General features: G+C 48.9%; 1 pseudogene, besides 7 other annotated features; it reads left to right on the top strand.

Moving 5' to 3' along the window:
* Positions 805-1,423: an enhancer, noted in NCBI's record as "H3K27ac-H3K4me1 hESC enhancer chr8:28268555-28269173 (GRCh37/hg19 assembly coordinates)". NCBI's record gives its function as "activates a minimal SCP1, AML or CMV promoter by ChIP-STARR-seq in naive H9 embryonic stem cells {active_cell/tissue: H9 hESC(naive)}" and the evidence as "EXISTENCE:reporter gene assay evidence [ECO:0000049][PMID:30033119]".
* Positions 805-1,452: a biological region, named in NCBI's record as "H3K27ac-H3K4me1 hESC enhancer GRCh37_chr8:28268555-28269173".
* Positions 1,263-1,452: an enhancer, noted in NCBI's record as "active region_27172". NCBI's record gives its function as "activates an Ori minimal core promoter by ATAC-STARR-seq in GM12878 lymphoblastoid cells {active_cell/tissue: GM12878}" and the evidence as "EXISTENCE:reporter gene assay evidence [ECO:0000049][PMID:35858748]".
* Positions 1,424-2,043: an enhancer, noted in NCBI's record as "H3K27ac-H3K4me1 hESC enhancer chr8:28269174-28269793 (GRCh37/hg19 assembly coordinates)". NCBI's record gives its function as "activates a minimal SCP1, AML or CMV promoter by ChIP-STARR-seq in naive H9 embryonic stem cells {active_cell/tissue: H9 hESC(naive)}" and the evidence as "EXISTENCE:reporter gene assay evidence [ECO:0000049][PMID:30033119]".
* Positions 1,424-2,212: a biological region, named in NCBI's record as "H3K27ac-H3K4me1 hESC enhancer GRCh37_chr8:28269174-28269793".
* Positions 1,533-2,212: a silencer, noted in NCBI's record as "silent region_19059". NCBI's record gives its function as "represses an Ori minimal core promoter by ATAC-STARR-seq in GM12878 lymphoblastoid cells {active_cell/tissue: GM12878}" and the evidence as "EXISTENCE:reporter gene assay evidence [ECO:0000049][PMID:35858748]".
* RNU6-178P (RNA, U6 small nuclear 178, pseudogene) lies at positions 6,215-6,318 on the top strand (annotated as a pseudogene).
* Positions 9,339-9,555: a silencer, noted in NCBI's record as "fragment chr8:28277089-28277305 (GRCh37/hg19 assembly coordinates)". NCBI's record gives its function as "represses an EF-1alpha promoter that drives an FKBP-Casp9 reporter gene in an ReSE screen in K562 erythroleukemia cells {active_cell/tissue: K562}" and the evidence as "EXISTENCE:reporter gene assay evidence [ECO:0000049][PMID:32094911]".

Raw genomic sequence — 15,028 nt, forward strand, 5'->3', positions numbered from 1 at the left:
TTTTGCCAGCTTAATAAGGAAGGTTTGAGACACAGACCAGCAAAGGAAGGCTCATGTCCTCTGCATGGTAGAGTCTGGCTTCTTCGAAGGCAGCCTTTTACTGCTCTGTCCCTGTCACACTACAAAGGAGCAGATGTTCAGCCTATGTAAATCCATAAGAAGGACAATTTATCAGGCTGGGTGCAGTGGCTCATGCCTGTAATCCCAACACTTTGGGAGGCTGAGGCAGGAGAATGGCTTGAGTCCTGGAGTTTGAGACCAGCCTGGGCCACATAGTGAGACCCGGTCTCTACCAATTTTTTTTTTTTTTTAATTAGTGTGGTGTGGTGGTGCCTGCGGTCCCAGCTAGCTACTTGGGAGACTGAGGCTGAAGGATCTCTTGAGCCCAGGAGGTCAAGGCTGCAGTGAGCTGTGATTGCGCCATTGCAATCCAACCTGAGTGACAGAGCAAGACTCTGTCTCAAAACAAAACAAAACAAAACAAAAAGGAGCAACCATTCTGAGAAGCCAAGGGTCAGAAGCCTGGGCTTGGCCTGCAGGCGATGATATGTTATCTGCTCCCATAAGCGACAGGAGCTGGCTCTGAAGCTAGAACCGAAGAAACAGCCAGTGACCAGAGGCTGCTTGTTCTACAAGAAAGAGCACTGTCCTAGCCTTGGGGACGCAACTAGCAGAGTGACCAGAGCAAACCATCCATAAAATTATGACCAGGCCAGGCGCAGTGGCTCAGGCCTGTAATCCCAGGCTGAGGCAGGCGGATCACTTGAGGTCAGGAGTTCAGGATCAGCCTGGCCAACATGGTGAAACCCCGTCTCTACTAGGCATAGTGGCACACGCCTGTAGTCCCAGCTACTTGGGAGGCTGAGGCAGGAGAATCACTTGAACCCCAGGGAGGGGGCAGAGATTGGGCCACTGCCCAATTTTATATATATATAAAACTAGACAGTGGATAGAAAACCCTATCTTAAAAAAAAAAAAAAGAACTTTAAAAGTATTTGTATCCTTTGATCCTTTAAAAAAATGAAAATGATTACATTTTGGTACAGCTGTACAATGTTAACATCGAACCATTAAACATATTTATGATGTGTTTAAGGAAATGGGAAATGTTTCTAAGATATTAAGTACAAAAAGCAAGACACTAATGACTTGCACAGAATGATCAAGTCTGTAAAGAGAAATAGAGCAAAACGTGAAGAAATATCCCACTACGTAAAGTGTTTGCTTCGGGTGGTGGAATTATGGGTGCGTTTCTGCGGGGTTTTTTTTGTGGGGGGGGCTAATTATTTACACTTTTCTGATTTGCCATAGTGTATACACTAAGCACATATTACTTTTATTATAAAGCGGCGGGAGGAGGTTGAAAACGATCTCCAATCTCCTCGGTTTCCTTCCCAATCCTTTGCATCAGGTTGATTTCCTCCAGGCCCCTTCCTGAAAGTTCTGCAGGTGACGCAGCCCCGCGCCGGCCGCCGCCGGGAAGATTCGAGAGGCCATCGGCCAGGGAGCGGCGGCGTCGGGTTTCCGCGCTGCTCCCCCCACTGCGAGTGCGGACGAGGATGCCGGGCCGCGTCTGTCCTGCGGCTCGCTGGGGCCCGGCAGCCCCTCTGCAGCGCGGTGCGAGTTCCTGGAAAGGCTGCGTTTGCGCTCCCCGGCCCTGCCCTCGAGGCGGGGACAACCCGCGGCTTCAGCCCGGCGTCCCCCTCCTGCTCGGTCCTCAACCCCGGCTGCGGCCGGCGGAAGCGCCCGGGCCTGGGAGGGAGAGGGAGGCACCTCCCTGCCGGCTCAACCCCCTGGGCAAGGGGCCGGGAGGGCGCGGCTGGGACGTGCCCGGGCCCACGAAGGCCTCCGCCCCACCCCTGCGCGCCGCCTGCAGGGGAGACCGGGCAGGGCGCCCCCCGCCTCCCAGGCCGCTCGCTGCAGGCTGCCGGCCGTGCGCAGGGGACCAGGCAAGGGGGCAGGCCATGCCTGCGGCCGCAACGCTCGGGTCTCGCTGCCGGCGGCTGGACCGGCCCCTTTGTCCCGTAGTCCTGCTCCGCCGGGGATCCTGGGGAGCCAAACCGAGCGCGCGCGCTGGCATCTGTGTGGACAGCGGGGGAGGCTGCCCGGTCTGATCCGTTGGCGCGCGCCCTGGCACGGCGTCCCCACGGCCTCTCCGGGGCCCGATCCCCGGCAGGCCTGAGCACTGAGCACTGCACCCGCTTTTCTTTGGGCGCGTGGCTCGTCCTCGGCCTGCTGCGGCCCCCTCCTTGCCCTGGCTTTGTTTTTCTTTTTCTTTCTTTCGTTTTCTTTTTCTTTTCTTTTCTTTTTTTTTTTTTTTTTTTTTTTTTTTGAGACAGGGTGCTGTGTGGCCCAGGCTGGGGGGCGGTGGCGTGACTACGGCTCACTGCAGCCCTAAGCTCCCAGGTTCAAGCGATCCAGCTGCCCCAGCCTCCTGAGTAGCTGGGACTCACATGCGCGCCACCACACCCAACTAATTTTTGAAAAATCTTTTTTTAGAGACAGGTTCCTGCTATGGGGCTTGCCCAAGCTGGTCTTGAACTCCTGGGCTCAAGCGATCCTCCTGCCTCAGCCTCCTAAAGGGCTGGGATTACAGGCATGAGTCACCGCGCCCGGCCAACCCCACTGTTTTTCTACCTCAGCTTCTTTGTCTAAGTCTGATCCACCAAAGGCCTTGGGCCCATCTTTCACCTCCATCTGTAAACCCATCCCTGCCAGCCCCGCACTCTGCCCTGCAGACACACATGCCCGAGGCGAAATCCAAGTTTACTTCCACTTTGACGGTAGGACAAGATCCTGCCCTCTCATTGTCACCCCAAAATATTCCCAAAGGCAAGAAGAGTTGACTCTTGCTCTATTACCCTGGGCCCGCTGCTGCGTAATTTGCAGGGCCCAGTGAAAAATGAAATTGAGCAGAGACGGAGCCACTGCATTCCAGCCTGGGTAAGAGAGCTAGACGCTGTCTCAAATAGAGACAGGGTCTCACTCTGTCGCCCAGGCTGGAGTGTGGTAGCATGATTGTGGCTCACTGCAGCCTCTACCTCCCATGCTCAAGAGATTCTCCTACCTCAGCCTCCCGAGTAGCTGGGATGACAGGTGTGAACCACCACCCCTGGCTAATTTTTTTTTTTTTTTTTTTTTTGGAGAAATTGGGCCTTCCTATGTTGCCCAGGCTGGTCTAGAACTCCTGGACTCAAGTGATCCACCTCGGCCTCCCAAAGTGCTGAATGACAAGCGTGAGCTACCGTGCCTGACTTTTCCTTCCTTCCCTCCCTTCCTCCCTCCCTCCATCCCTCCCTTCCTTTCCTTCCTTCCTTCCTTTCTTTCCTTCCTTCCTTCCTTCTTCCTTCCTTTCTTCCTTCCTCACTCCTTCCCTCTCTTCTTTCTTTCCCTCCTTTCTCCTTCTCTCTCTTCTTTCCTTCCCTCCTTTCTCCTTCCCTCCCTTCCTTCTTCCCTTTTTATCAATCTTCTTTCTTTCCTCCCTTCCCCGCCCCCTTCCTTCCTGAGCAAAAAGTAAACCGAACCTCGTACCCTTCAAAGTCAGGATGCTTTGCAGCTATGCAGGTGGAACCCTCCCGAAGCCAGGCTTGCCAGCAGCCTTTCAAAGCATCTCCTCACAAAATATTTCAGTAATTAGAAAGCCCTTAGAAGTAATTTTACCATGGTGAGACCAGGCGCACATCATCCTAATCAAATCATGAACGTGAACCCACAGATAAAGAGATAAGTTGACATTGCGTGCCACCTGGTGAAACCCAATGAGGAGTCGCAGCGTGACTTCTGCCACGTTCCCGTCAAAGATGCAGGACCCACGTCTTATGAGGAAACGCTAGACAAACCCAAATTGAGGCACAGCCTACAAAATGGCCTGTAATATTCAAAAAAGTCGAGACCTTGAGAGCCAAGGAAACTTGAGGAGCCGCCCCAGGTGGAAGTAGATTCAGCAGAGCAACTGTGTCCAACGTGTGATTATTGCGCTGTAAAGAATGTCATTGAAGTCTGGGCGCCGTGGCTCATGTCTGTAATCCCTGCACTTTGGGAGGCTGAGGCGGGCAGATCACTTGAGGTCAGGAGTTCGAGACCAGTCTGGCCAACATGGCGAAACCCCGTCTCTACTAAAAATCCAAAAATTAGCTGGATGTGGTGGTGGGTGCCTGTTGCCCCAGCTACTTGGGAGGCTGAGGCAAGAGAATCACTTGAATGTGGGAGGTGGAGATTGCAGTGAGCTGAGATCGCACCACTGCACTCCAGCCTGGGTGACAGTGCGAGACTCCATCTCAGGAAAAAAAAAAAAAAAGAATGTCATAGAGGCCACAGATGAAAGGCGATGAGTCTCTGGGCAGAGAATAGGTGAGTTATTTTGTTCGATTCTTTCAGATAATTTCCTGTCAATTTGAAATTATTTCAGAATAAAAAGAAAGAATAAAATTTACCATCACAACCCCCCCTCCACACCAGCTTTCCCTCAATAGCAGCGACATTCCCCGAGTCACCCGAGCTTAAACACTTCAGTATCATCTTTGATTCCTCTCCCATCCCTCCCCTGCCCACTTCCCCACCACCCTAAGTCCTGCTAATTCTTTTTAAAATACCTCTCACATAGCTACCTTTTTAATTAAATCTCCAAATTAAAAAAAAATGACTCTACCTACCTCACATAATCATTTTAAGTAGTGTCTGTGAAGAGAATTTGTATACCTAAAGTACTGTATAAACACAAGATCTTCTTGCACCAACTCAAGCCTGGATTACTGCTGTTTACTGCTGCAATCTCCTAACGGGTCTTCCTGTCTCTCCTTGCTCCCTTTACCAACCCATCCTGTGTAGGGTTACCGGAGTAATCTGCCTAAAAGCACATTTTATCCTTTCAAGACCTTGCTTCCCACGGTCCACTGCAGGACTTAATCCATGTTCCCTGGGAAGACTGTGGTCTATGAGCTGAACCAAAACGGTCTGCCCTTGTATCAGATAACCCTGACCTTTCCCCAATTCATAGAGAAAAGAAGTTAGTGGATAGAACTTTCTCAGTTTGTAAATATTTTTTCCCTATATGTACTTGTTTTTCTGTAGTAGTAAATCCAAGCTTTCGTCTGCTACTCTTGTAGATGACAAAATGAATGATTAAGCAGCAAATAAATCATAAAGATTTGACCACAGCAGATCATATTTACTTCGATAGATTGGTTTTCTCATGGGCACATACGGGTGGTTGTGATTTTTATAATGCACGTCAATTAATTATATAGCCATTTTCCTTCTTCAAAAGCGTTTCTGTTTGTTTTGTGATGGAATGCAATATATCAAAATTTTATCATGAATAAGTTAGAGAAAACACCGCCCTCCCGAACAAATACTTGGCCTCTTATTCACAGTTTTTCCAGCCAGATCGCAGCTACTCCCCTTGATAGCAAAGTTGTCTAATCTCTGTTCATTTTTGCTTTCTTATTTGTTTGCTTTGCATAAACCACTCCATGTCCCTGGTACTCTCCCCCTATTCCTGACTGCAGAAACCTCCCCAACCTTAAAAGACCAAATTAACTCTCTACTTGGTGAAAACTTCAAAAATCATGATGACTCCTTCTAACTCAGAGCATGTCTTGCCTCTGCTAGTCATCTGGCACTTAATCAAGTACTGCCTAGTGGATTCTTACTTTTTTGTGTGCTCAGCTGTAGTTAACTCATTCTTCTGGCCGGGCACTGTGGCTCACACCTGTAATCCCAGCACTTTCGGAGACAAAGGTGGGTGGATCACCTGAAGCCAGGAGTTCCAGACCAGCCTGACCAACACGATGAAACCCGTCTCTACTAAAAACACAAAACATTAGCTGGGCTGGTGGTGCATGCCTGTCATCCCAGCTACTCTGGAGGCTGAGGCAGGGGAATCGCTTGAACCCAAGGGGCAGAGGTTGCAGTGAGCCGAGATCATGCCACTGCACTCCAGCCTGGGTGACAGAGCTAGACTTTGACTCAAAATAAAAAAATAAAATAAAATAAAAAACTCAATTCTTCTACTTGTCAATGCAAGGATACTTTCCTTTCTGAATTGCATTGGAAGCAGAGAGTTCAAGTGTTGGAGTAAGATAAAATAAGATTGAAAAGCTGTTGGAGAACTTTGTTAGGAGTTCAGATTTTGTTTTGCAGCACAGGGTTTCCTACTTTACAAGCTTTAATAGGCATACGAATGGAGGGAGAGCTTATTAAACATGCAGATTCTGTGCTTGCCTCAGCAGTGCATATACTACAATTGAAATGATACAGAGATTAGCATGGCCCCTGTGGGAGGATGACACGCCAATACATGAAGCATTCCATGTCTTTAAAGAAATCAGCTGGGCGCAGTGGCTCATGCCTGTAATCCCAGCACTTTGGGAGGCCGAGACGGGCAGATCACGAGGTCAGGAGTTCAAGACCAGCCTGACCAACATGGTGAAACCCCATCTCTACTAAAAATACAAAAATTAGCTGGGCGTGATGGTGCGCATCTGTAATCTCAGCTACTCAGGAGGCTGAGGCAGGAGAATCGCTTGGACCCGGGAGGCAGACATTGCAGTGAGCCGAGATCACGCCACTGTACTCCAGCCTGGGCAACAGAGCGAGACTCTTGTCTCAAAAAAAAAAAAAGAAAGAAAAGAAAAGAAAAAAAGAAAAGAAATCATGGGGATTCTGATTCATTAGGCTTGGGGTAGGGACCAAGCTTCTGCATTTCTAACATGTGCCCCATTAATGCCAATGCATTTTCTCTCCTAGCCTTGTAGATGACAAAATGAATGAACAAGCGGCAAATAAATCATAAAGATTCGGCCACAGCAGATCATATTTACAACAGCTTGGTTTTCTCATGGGCACGGAAGAATCACCCCATAGCAAGGCTGTAGGGAAAGCGGAGATAAATGTATCCTTCTTTAAAGAAGGGAGTGACTTAGAAAAGAAACAAAACAAGCAGACTAAAACTTTAATATTTTATGAAAGTCTGCAAGTCACTCATAGCATATTTGGAAAAACTTGTCGGATTATATTTACTTTGTTTAACAACATGCAGCAATTGGAATGTAGATGCTGTATGGAGAGTTTTGGCACCAACCTTCCAGAAGTCTGGGCTAGAGGCTTTATCGACCCTTGGTAATCAATTTGGACTCTACTTCCTTGACTCACCCTCGAACCCCTACCCTGTTTTTTTTGTTTTGTTTTGTTTTCTCAAGGTCCATCATTTTAATCCATCCATTTCTTTTTTGAGATGGAGTCTCACTCTGTCACCCAGGCTGGAGTGCAGTGTCATGATCTTGGCCCACTGCAGCCTCCGCCTCCCAGGCTCAAGCAATTCTCATACCTTAGCCTCCGGAGTAGCTGGGATTACAGGCGTGTGCCACTATCCTCCGCTAATTTTTTTTTTTTTTTTTTGGTATTTTTTGTAGGGATGGGTTTCGCCATGTTGGCCAGACTGGTGTCGAACTCTTGACCTCAAGCAATCCGCCTGCTTCGGCCTCCCAAAATGCTGGGATTACAGGCATGAGCCACCTTGCCCAGCCTAATCCATCCATTTATTTTCATCAATACCACTGTCCTTAATCTAGTCCCAAATTATTGCTGCAGCATCTAAAGTCATTTATCTACCTACAGTTTTTCTCCCTCAGATCTATCCTATGTCCCATGAATCTTCTAAAAATATTTCTTTTATCATATCACTTCTGTACGCAGGAACCCACAAAGGCTCTGGTAGCAAACTTTTTCCTCCCTTTGTCCTCTTGCTACTACTGTTACCTCCTACTCTGTGTCTATCCAAGCATCACCCTTCTTGCTTCCAGGCCTAGGTCAAGATTCACCTTCCTGTAGCCGGGTGCGGTGGCTCACGCCTGTCATCCCAGTGCTTTGGGAGGCCGAGGCAGGCGGATCACTTGAGGTCAGGAGTTCAAGACCAGCCTGGTCAACATGGTGAAACCCCATCTCTACTAAACATACAAAAATTAGCCGGGTATGGTGGCACACACCTATAGTCTCAGCTACTCAGGAGGCTGAGGCAGGAGAATCACCTGAACCTGGGAGGGAGGTGTTGCAGTGAGCCAAGATGGTGCCACTGCACTCCAGCCTGGGCAACAGAGACAGACTCTGTCTCAAAAAAAAAAAAAAAAAAAAGATTCAGCTTCCTTTTTGTATCTGGCTTATTTCACTCAGTGTAATGTCCTCAAGGTTCATCCATGTTGTAGCATGGGTCAGAATGTCCTTCCTTTTTAAGGCTGAATAATATTCCACGGTATGAATGGACCACATTTTGCTTCTCCATTCATCTCTCAATGGTCCCTTGGGCTGCTTCCACCTCTGGGCTATTGTGAAGAATGCTGTTGTGAACATGGGTGTACAAACATCTGTTTGAGCCCGTTTTCAGTCCTTTTGTGTATTTCCCCAGATGTATGATGATGGATCACATGGAAATTCTGTTTAGTTTCTTGAAGAACGTCATATTGTGTTTTGTTTGTTTTTTGAGACAGAGTCTCACTCTGTCACCCAAGCTGGAGCGCAGTGGCATGATCTCAGCTCACTGCAACCTCTGCCTCCCAGGTTCAGGCAATTCTCCTGCCTCAGCCTCCTGAGTAGCTGGTATTATAGGCACACACCACCACGCTCTGCTGATTTTCTGTATTTTTAGTAGAGACAGTGTTTCACTATGTTGGCCAGGCTGGTCTTGAACTCCTGACCTCAAATGATCTGCCTGCCTTGGCTTCCCAAAGTGCTGGGATTACAGGCGTGAGCCACCGCTCTCGGCCCATACTGTTTGTTTTTTTTTAAATTGCAGGTGCACAATTTTACATTCCCATCAGCAATGCACAAAAATTCTAATTTTTCCACCTCCTCGAAAACTTATTTTCTGTTTTGTTTGTTGTTGATAACAGCCATCCTAATGGGTGACATGGTTGGTTACTTTTTTTTTTTTTTTTTGAGACAGAGTCTTGCTCTGTTGCTAGGCTGGAGTGCAGTGGTGTGCCTCCCGGGTTCAACCGATTCTCCTGCCTCAGCCTCCCGTGTAGCTGGGACTACTGGCGCGCCGCCACCTTGCCCAGCTAATTTTTGTATTTTAGTAGAGACGAGGTTTCAACATGTTGACCAGGCTGGTCTCGAGCTCCTGACCTCGTGATCCACCCGGCTCGGACTTCCAAAGTACTGGGATTACAGGTGTGAGCGAGCGCGCCCCGCCAGTTGGTTACCTTTTAAAGTGGTTATGTTTCTTTAGACTATAAGTTGTTCAAAAACTGACAATGTGATTATTTGCTTGAATGATGCTAATGGAATCAAAGACTTGAGTGGAATAAGTGAGTGATTCTCTAAGGGTGTCAGCATATATATTCAAAATTTCCCAGAGCCCCTCCGTAGTAGTAGGGAAAGCTGTGTTTTCAGGAACGCCAGTCCTGTTTGAGTTTTTGAGACACAAATGGGCAGTAGTGATGTGCCCTGAACTCAAATAAGAGGGGAAGAAGCGCCCTCTTGTGTCCATTCTCAGCTGGTGTCAGTGACTACAGAAGCCTGCTGAGAAATGTACATTTCGGATCTTCCAAAGACATTCCAATGACAGTGCTACTGTCAAACGCCAATCATGTGTCTACTACGTGAAAGAAAATGTGGAAATATGGAATGAATGAAACTGGAATGCTTTGAAGAATTTCCAACCTAGTGGGGAGATAAGATACATGCAGAAATCACTTGAGTAGAAGACAGATTGAGCAAAATGGACAGTATATATAATGTGAATATGGGAAGATCAAGACTTCGAAGGGGAGAGAAGTCCAGATTCACATCAAAATGTAAACCTGGCCGGTTAAGGAGGAGTTTGAGATGGCACTGGGGTTTTGTGTGTTTTTTGTTTTTGTTTTTTTTTGCTGTGTGTGTGTGTGTGTGTGTGTGTGTGTGTGTGTGTGTGTGTGTGTGGAGACGGAGTCTCACTCTGTCGCCCAGGCTGCAGTGCATTGACGCAATCTCAGCTCAATGCAACCTCTGCCTCCTGGGTTCCAGTGATTCTCCTGCCTCAGCTTCCCAAGTAGCTGGGATTACAGGCACCCACCACCACGGCCAGCTAATTTTTGTATTTTTAGTAGTAACGGGGTTTCACCCTGTTGGCCAGGCTGGTCTTGAGCTCCCGACTTCAAGTGATCTGCCCACCTCGGCCTCCCAAAGTGCTAAGATTACAGGTGTGAGCCACTTCGCCCAGCCAGCACTGGGGTTTTTTAATGGTACCAGCTTCCGCTTGTCTGGACCTGGGAGGGCCAACCACATAGGTCTAGTTGTCGGGTTCCCTAGTCCTTTGGAGCGAGCACCCCAGAACTCACAATTTCCCCGTCTTCTCAGTAGTGCCCTTCCCACAGCTGTCTCTCTCTTGAGTTTCATCCCCCGAACTCTCCCTTTCCTAAATTGGCTGATGGCAGGGGCACTGCCTCCATAGCTTCCGCTGTCCGTCATGCACACAAAGAAACTTACATAGGTCCCCTGGTTTTAGGATTTTGCAAATATAATCAGGGTAGGGATGAGTTACAAAGGATTAAGTACCTCTTGAAATCTCTGTTTCTGAGAGCAGCCTTCTGCCATCCTCTTAGAGCCCTGAGGAGGTGACGCTGCCAACCCTTGGTCTGCATCCTTCTGTCTATCTCTCCCTCTCTCTCTCTCTTTTTTTTTTTTTGTAGCATAAGAATGCAAGTGTTCGACATTACAGGCTTGGCAAACATTTTTGTGTGTGTGTGTGTGTGTGTGTGTGTGTGTGTGTGTGTTTTGTTTTGTTTTGTTTTGTTTTTTGTTTTTAGTCTCACTCTGTCGCCCAGGCTGAAGTGCAGTGGCGCAATCTTGGCTCACTGCAACCTCCACTGCCCGGGCTCAAGTGATTCTCCTGCCTCCCTGTCCTGAGTAGCTAGGATTACAGGTACCCACCATCACAGCCGGTTAATTTTTGTATTTTTAGTGCAGACAGGGTTTCGCCATGTTGACCAGGGTGGTCTCAAACTCCTGACCTCAAGTGATCCACCCGCCTCGGCCTCCCAAAGTGCTGGCTTACAGCCATGAGCCACTGCGCCCGGCCATGCATCCTTCTTTACTGTACTGGAGCTAACCTCTCTTTTTTTATTTGGCTTTTGCTTGTTTATTTTATTTAGAGACAGAGTCTTGCTCTGTTACTCAGACTAGAGTCTTGAACTCCTGCAGCTTTGAACACCTGGGTGCAAGTAACCCCTACTGCTTCAGCCTTCCAAGCAGCTGGGACTGCAGTCATGCACCACTGTGCTCAGCTAAGTTTTAAAAAAATTTTTTGTGGACACGTGGTCTCACTATGTTGCCCAGACTGGTCTAAAACTCCTGGCCTCCAGCAATTCTCCCGTCTCAGCCTTCCAAAGGGCTGGGATGACAGGCGTTAGCCACCAACCCAGGCCTGGTGCTGACCTCTCTTCCTCGGAAGTACTGCTTCTCAGCACAAATGCTGAATGAAGGTGGAATCAAAGCATGGCAGGAGATAGGGAGAAATACCCAGATAGAAAGAAACCAGAGTTTCTGGGGAAGCTGCAAGGTGGAAAGAGCAGATCTTCGGAGTCAAACACATCTGGGTTGAAATCCCAGCTCTGCTTCTTCATAGCTGTGGCCACTTTCAGCACATGAGGATAAAAATACCTACCTATTACCTCGTAAGATTCTTGTGAAGATTGGATAAGATAGAGCACAAAAATAGTTGAGGAAGTATCTGGTTTAGTAAATACCTGTCGCTTTCCCCCTTGCCCTCCGCACCTCCTTTGTATCCTGAAGTTTCTGTAAGTGTCACGGCTCTGTCTGAGGCTTCTAGGTCAGTTGCACAATAACTGAGATGACTTTTATGGCAACAAGAGCTGCATGGGAAGCAGAAGCATCATTGCTTTGTTGGCATTCTGGGGTAGGGTGGTGTGGGGAAGATATTTCCAAACCATCCTAATTACCTCCCAAAACTCCAGTTTCCCAAGCCAGAAAACTAAGAGTCCTTAATTTCTCCTCCTCTCTCCTCCTAACTCTAAGAAAGTTTTTTTTTCTTTTTTCTTTTTTTTTCTTTACGGAGTCTCTCTCTGTTGCCAGGCTGAAGTACAGTGGCGCAGTCTCGGCTCACTGCAACCTCTGCCTCCCTGGTTCAAGCGATTCTTCTGCCTCAGCCTCCCAAGTAGTTGGGATTGTAAGTGCGTGCCACCACACCCAGCTAATTTTTGTATTTTTAGTAGAGATGGGGTTTCACCAGCTTGGCCAGGATGGTCTCAATCTCCTGACTTTGTGATCTGCCCACCTCAGCCTCCCAAAGTGCTGGGATTACAGGCCTGAGCCACCTCACCCGGCTAAGAAAATTCTAAGTTCTGCTATTTCTCCTGAAGACATTCTACAACCTCCTTGTTTTCTCTTTACCCTCCTCCACTACTTTCAGTTCAAGTCACCAGCATCTTTTCCCTGGAAAACTGTGATGGCCCCAAACTGGTCTTCAGTGTTGCCCCTCTCCTGCATTATCCAGAAGCCAGAGCTCTTTCAAATGCCAGTCTTAGCAAGTCACTCTCGTCTTTAAAATCCTGTCCTGATTGCTCAGCTATCTTGGAGATAAAGTCTTAACTGCTCGGCTTGGCTTCCTGTTTGGGCTCCTGGCTACCTTTTCCGCTATCTCTCTTTTCCAACCCTGCTGCAACCCAGCCCCAGTTCTCTAGGGTCCAGCTGCACTGGACATTTTCCAAGGACCACTCACAGTGACAAGGGGTTTCCTGGATGTGGACCTTGTGGTGCTAACGCCAGGACAGCCCTGGCAAACCAGGATGCTTGGTCACCCAGGTTTGGCCTGGGGTCTCTGCTTATTTTATTCCTCTCCTTCCTCTCTCTGGAATGCTCCTCCTTGTACACTCACCTCCTAGTTACTATGAAATACCATTCATCCCATCCCAGGTTTCTTTATGTTTCTTTCTTTCTTTTTTTTTTTTGTTTCAAGACAGGTTCTCGCTCTGATACCCAGGCTGGAGTGCAGTGGTGCAATCTCGGCTCACTGCAACCTCTGCCTCTTGGGTTCAAGCAATTCTAGTGCCTCAGCCTCCTGAGTAGTTGGGACTGCAGGCGCGTGCCACCATGCCTGGCTAAATTTTGTACTTTTTTAATAGAGTCAGGGTTTCACCATGTTGGCCAGACTGATCTCGAACTGCTGACCTCAAGTGATCCACCTGCCTCGGCCTCCCAGAGTGCTGAGATGACAGGCGTTGAGTCACCGTGCGTGACCCATCTGGAGTTTCTGCTTGGACATCACTTCTGCAATGCCCCGTGGAGTGGCTTACTTCTTCCTTCTGTGAGCTCTCACAGCCTGGCTGCTCTGTCTCCTTCGCAGCTATGATCAGCTCATCGAAGGCAGGAACAGTTTCTTTCTCATACCTGTATTCCCAGAGATTCGCACGAGTCTGGTGCAAAGTGGGCATTCATAAAGTTTTGCTGAATGTGGCCGGGCGCAGTGGCTCACGCCTGTAATTCCACCACTTTTGGAGGCCGAGGGGGGTGGATCACCTGAGGTCAGGAGTTCTAGACCAGCCTGGCCAACATGGTGAAACCCCATCTCTACTAAAAATACAAAATTTAGCCAGGCATGATGGCAGGCACCTGTAATCCCAGCTACTCGGGGAGGGGGGGTGCCAAGGCAGGAGAATCACTTGAACCCGGGAGGTGGAGGTTGCAGTGAGCCGAGATCGCGCCATTGCACTCCAGCCTGGGGACAAGAGCGATACTTTAAAAAAAAAAAAGTTTTGCTGAATGAATGAGTATCAGCACAGTTTACCAACCATTACCTGGTTCCTACCACAATGGGAGATGTGCCACTTCACATGCCTGTGTCCTATGTATGGCAAGGGTTGCCCAGGGAATCATCCTGAGGCAGAGAGTCTACCCCAAAATGATCACAAGACTATTTCCCATCCCACATGTTCTTCTAGAACCTTGCAGCTCTCCCAAGTCTGTGTCCTCTCTGCTTGAAATTGGACAAACCCCTCCGGCCAGCTGGGGATGGTGGAAGAGACTAGGAGACTTCCAAGGCTGGGACCTCAAAGCTGATTCCGGTTCAGTTTGGCTCTCTCTTGGGACCCTCATCCTTAGAACCCAACCCCGCTGCCAATGAGAACCCCAGGCCATATGGAGAGGTAAAGAGGCCCCGCCCTCAGTCCTGGCTGAGCTCTCAGTGGGTGGCACACACCCACTTTCCAGCCATGTCCCTGTATCCCCTCGGACATGGATCCCGCAGCCCTCGGTTGAGAGGACCCGGAGGATGCTGTGTGGGTCGGAGACAAGCCCTCCCCAAAGAGCCCAAACCACAGATTCATGAGGAAAATGACAGACTTGTTGCAAGCAAGTGCATTCAGGGTGATTTGTTACCTGTAGATAACCCAAATACAGCTTAAGACAACATGCAGGCCGGGCGTGGGGGCTCACGCCTGGAATCCCGGTACTTTGGGGGGCCAAGGCGGGAAGACTGCTTGAGCCCAGGAGTTCAAGACCAGCCTGGGCAACATAGGGAGACCCCATCTCTACAAAAAATTAAAAAATTAGCTGGGTGTGGTGGCACATGCCTGTAATCCCAGCTACTCAGGAGGCTGAGGTGGGAGGACCACTTGGAACCTGGGAGGTCGAGGCTGCAGTGAGCTGTGAAGGGGCCACTGCACTCAGCCTGGGCCACAGAGAGAGGTCCTATCTCAAAAAAAAGACAACACACAGTCTCTGGCACTGGAGGAGCCCTTCTTTCTCCTGATATGTCCTTGCCCCAGGGGATCTTGGCTTATTCTGAAAGGGGCTGGGAATGGACTCTGGTCTGGCCCATTCAAACATCTGCCTGCAATGTGACAGGCTCATGATATAATCAAAGAATGCACTGGGACAAAGGGGGTTGTACATGCGGAGCTGCAGGCCATCCCAGCTTATCCGTTTGTCCCTGGCTCCTGGGGGCCGCCCAGGAGGAAACCCTTCCTGACAGCCATCTTCTTTTGGAACACATGGGAGGAACACAAGGTCTCAACTCAGGGAGACACATTCGCTTCAC

Source organism: Homo sapiens, chromosome 8 (genome assembly GCF_000001405.40).
Source record: "Homo sapiens chromosome 8, GRCh38.p14 Primary Assembly".
Taxonomy (NCBI): Eukaryota; Metazoa; Chordata; class Mammalia; order Primates; family Hominidae; genus Homo; species Homo sapiens.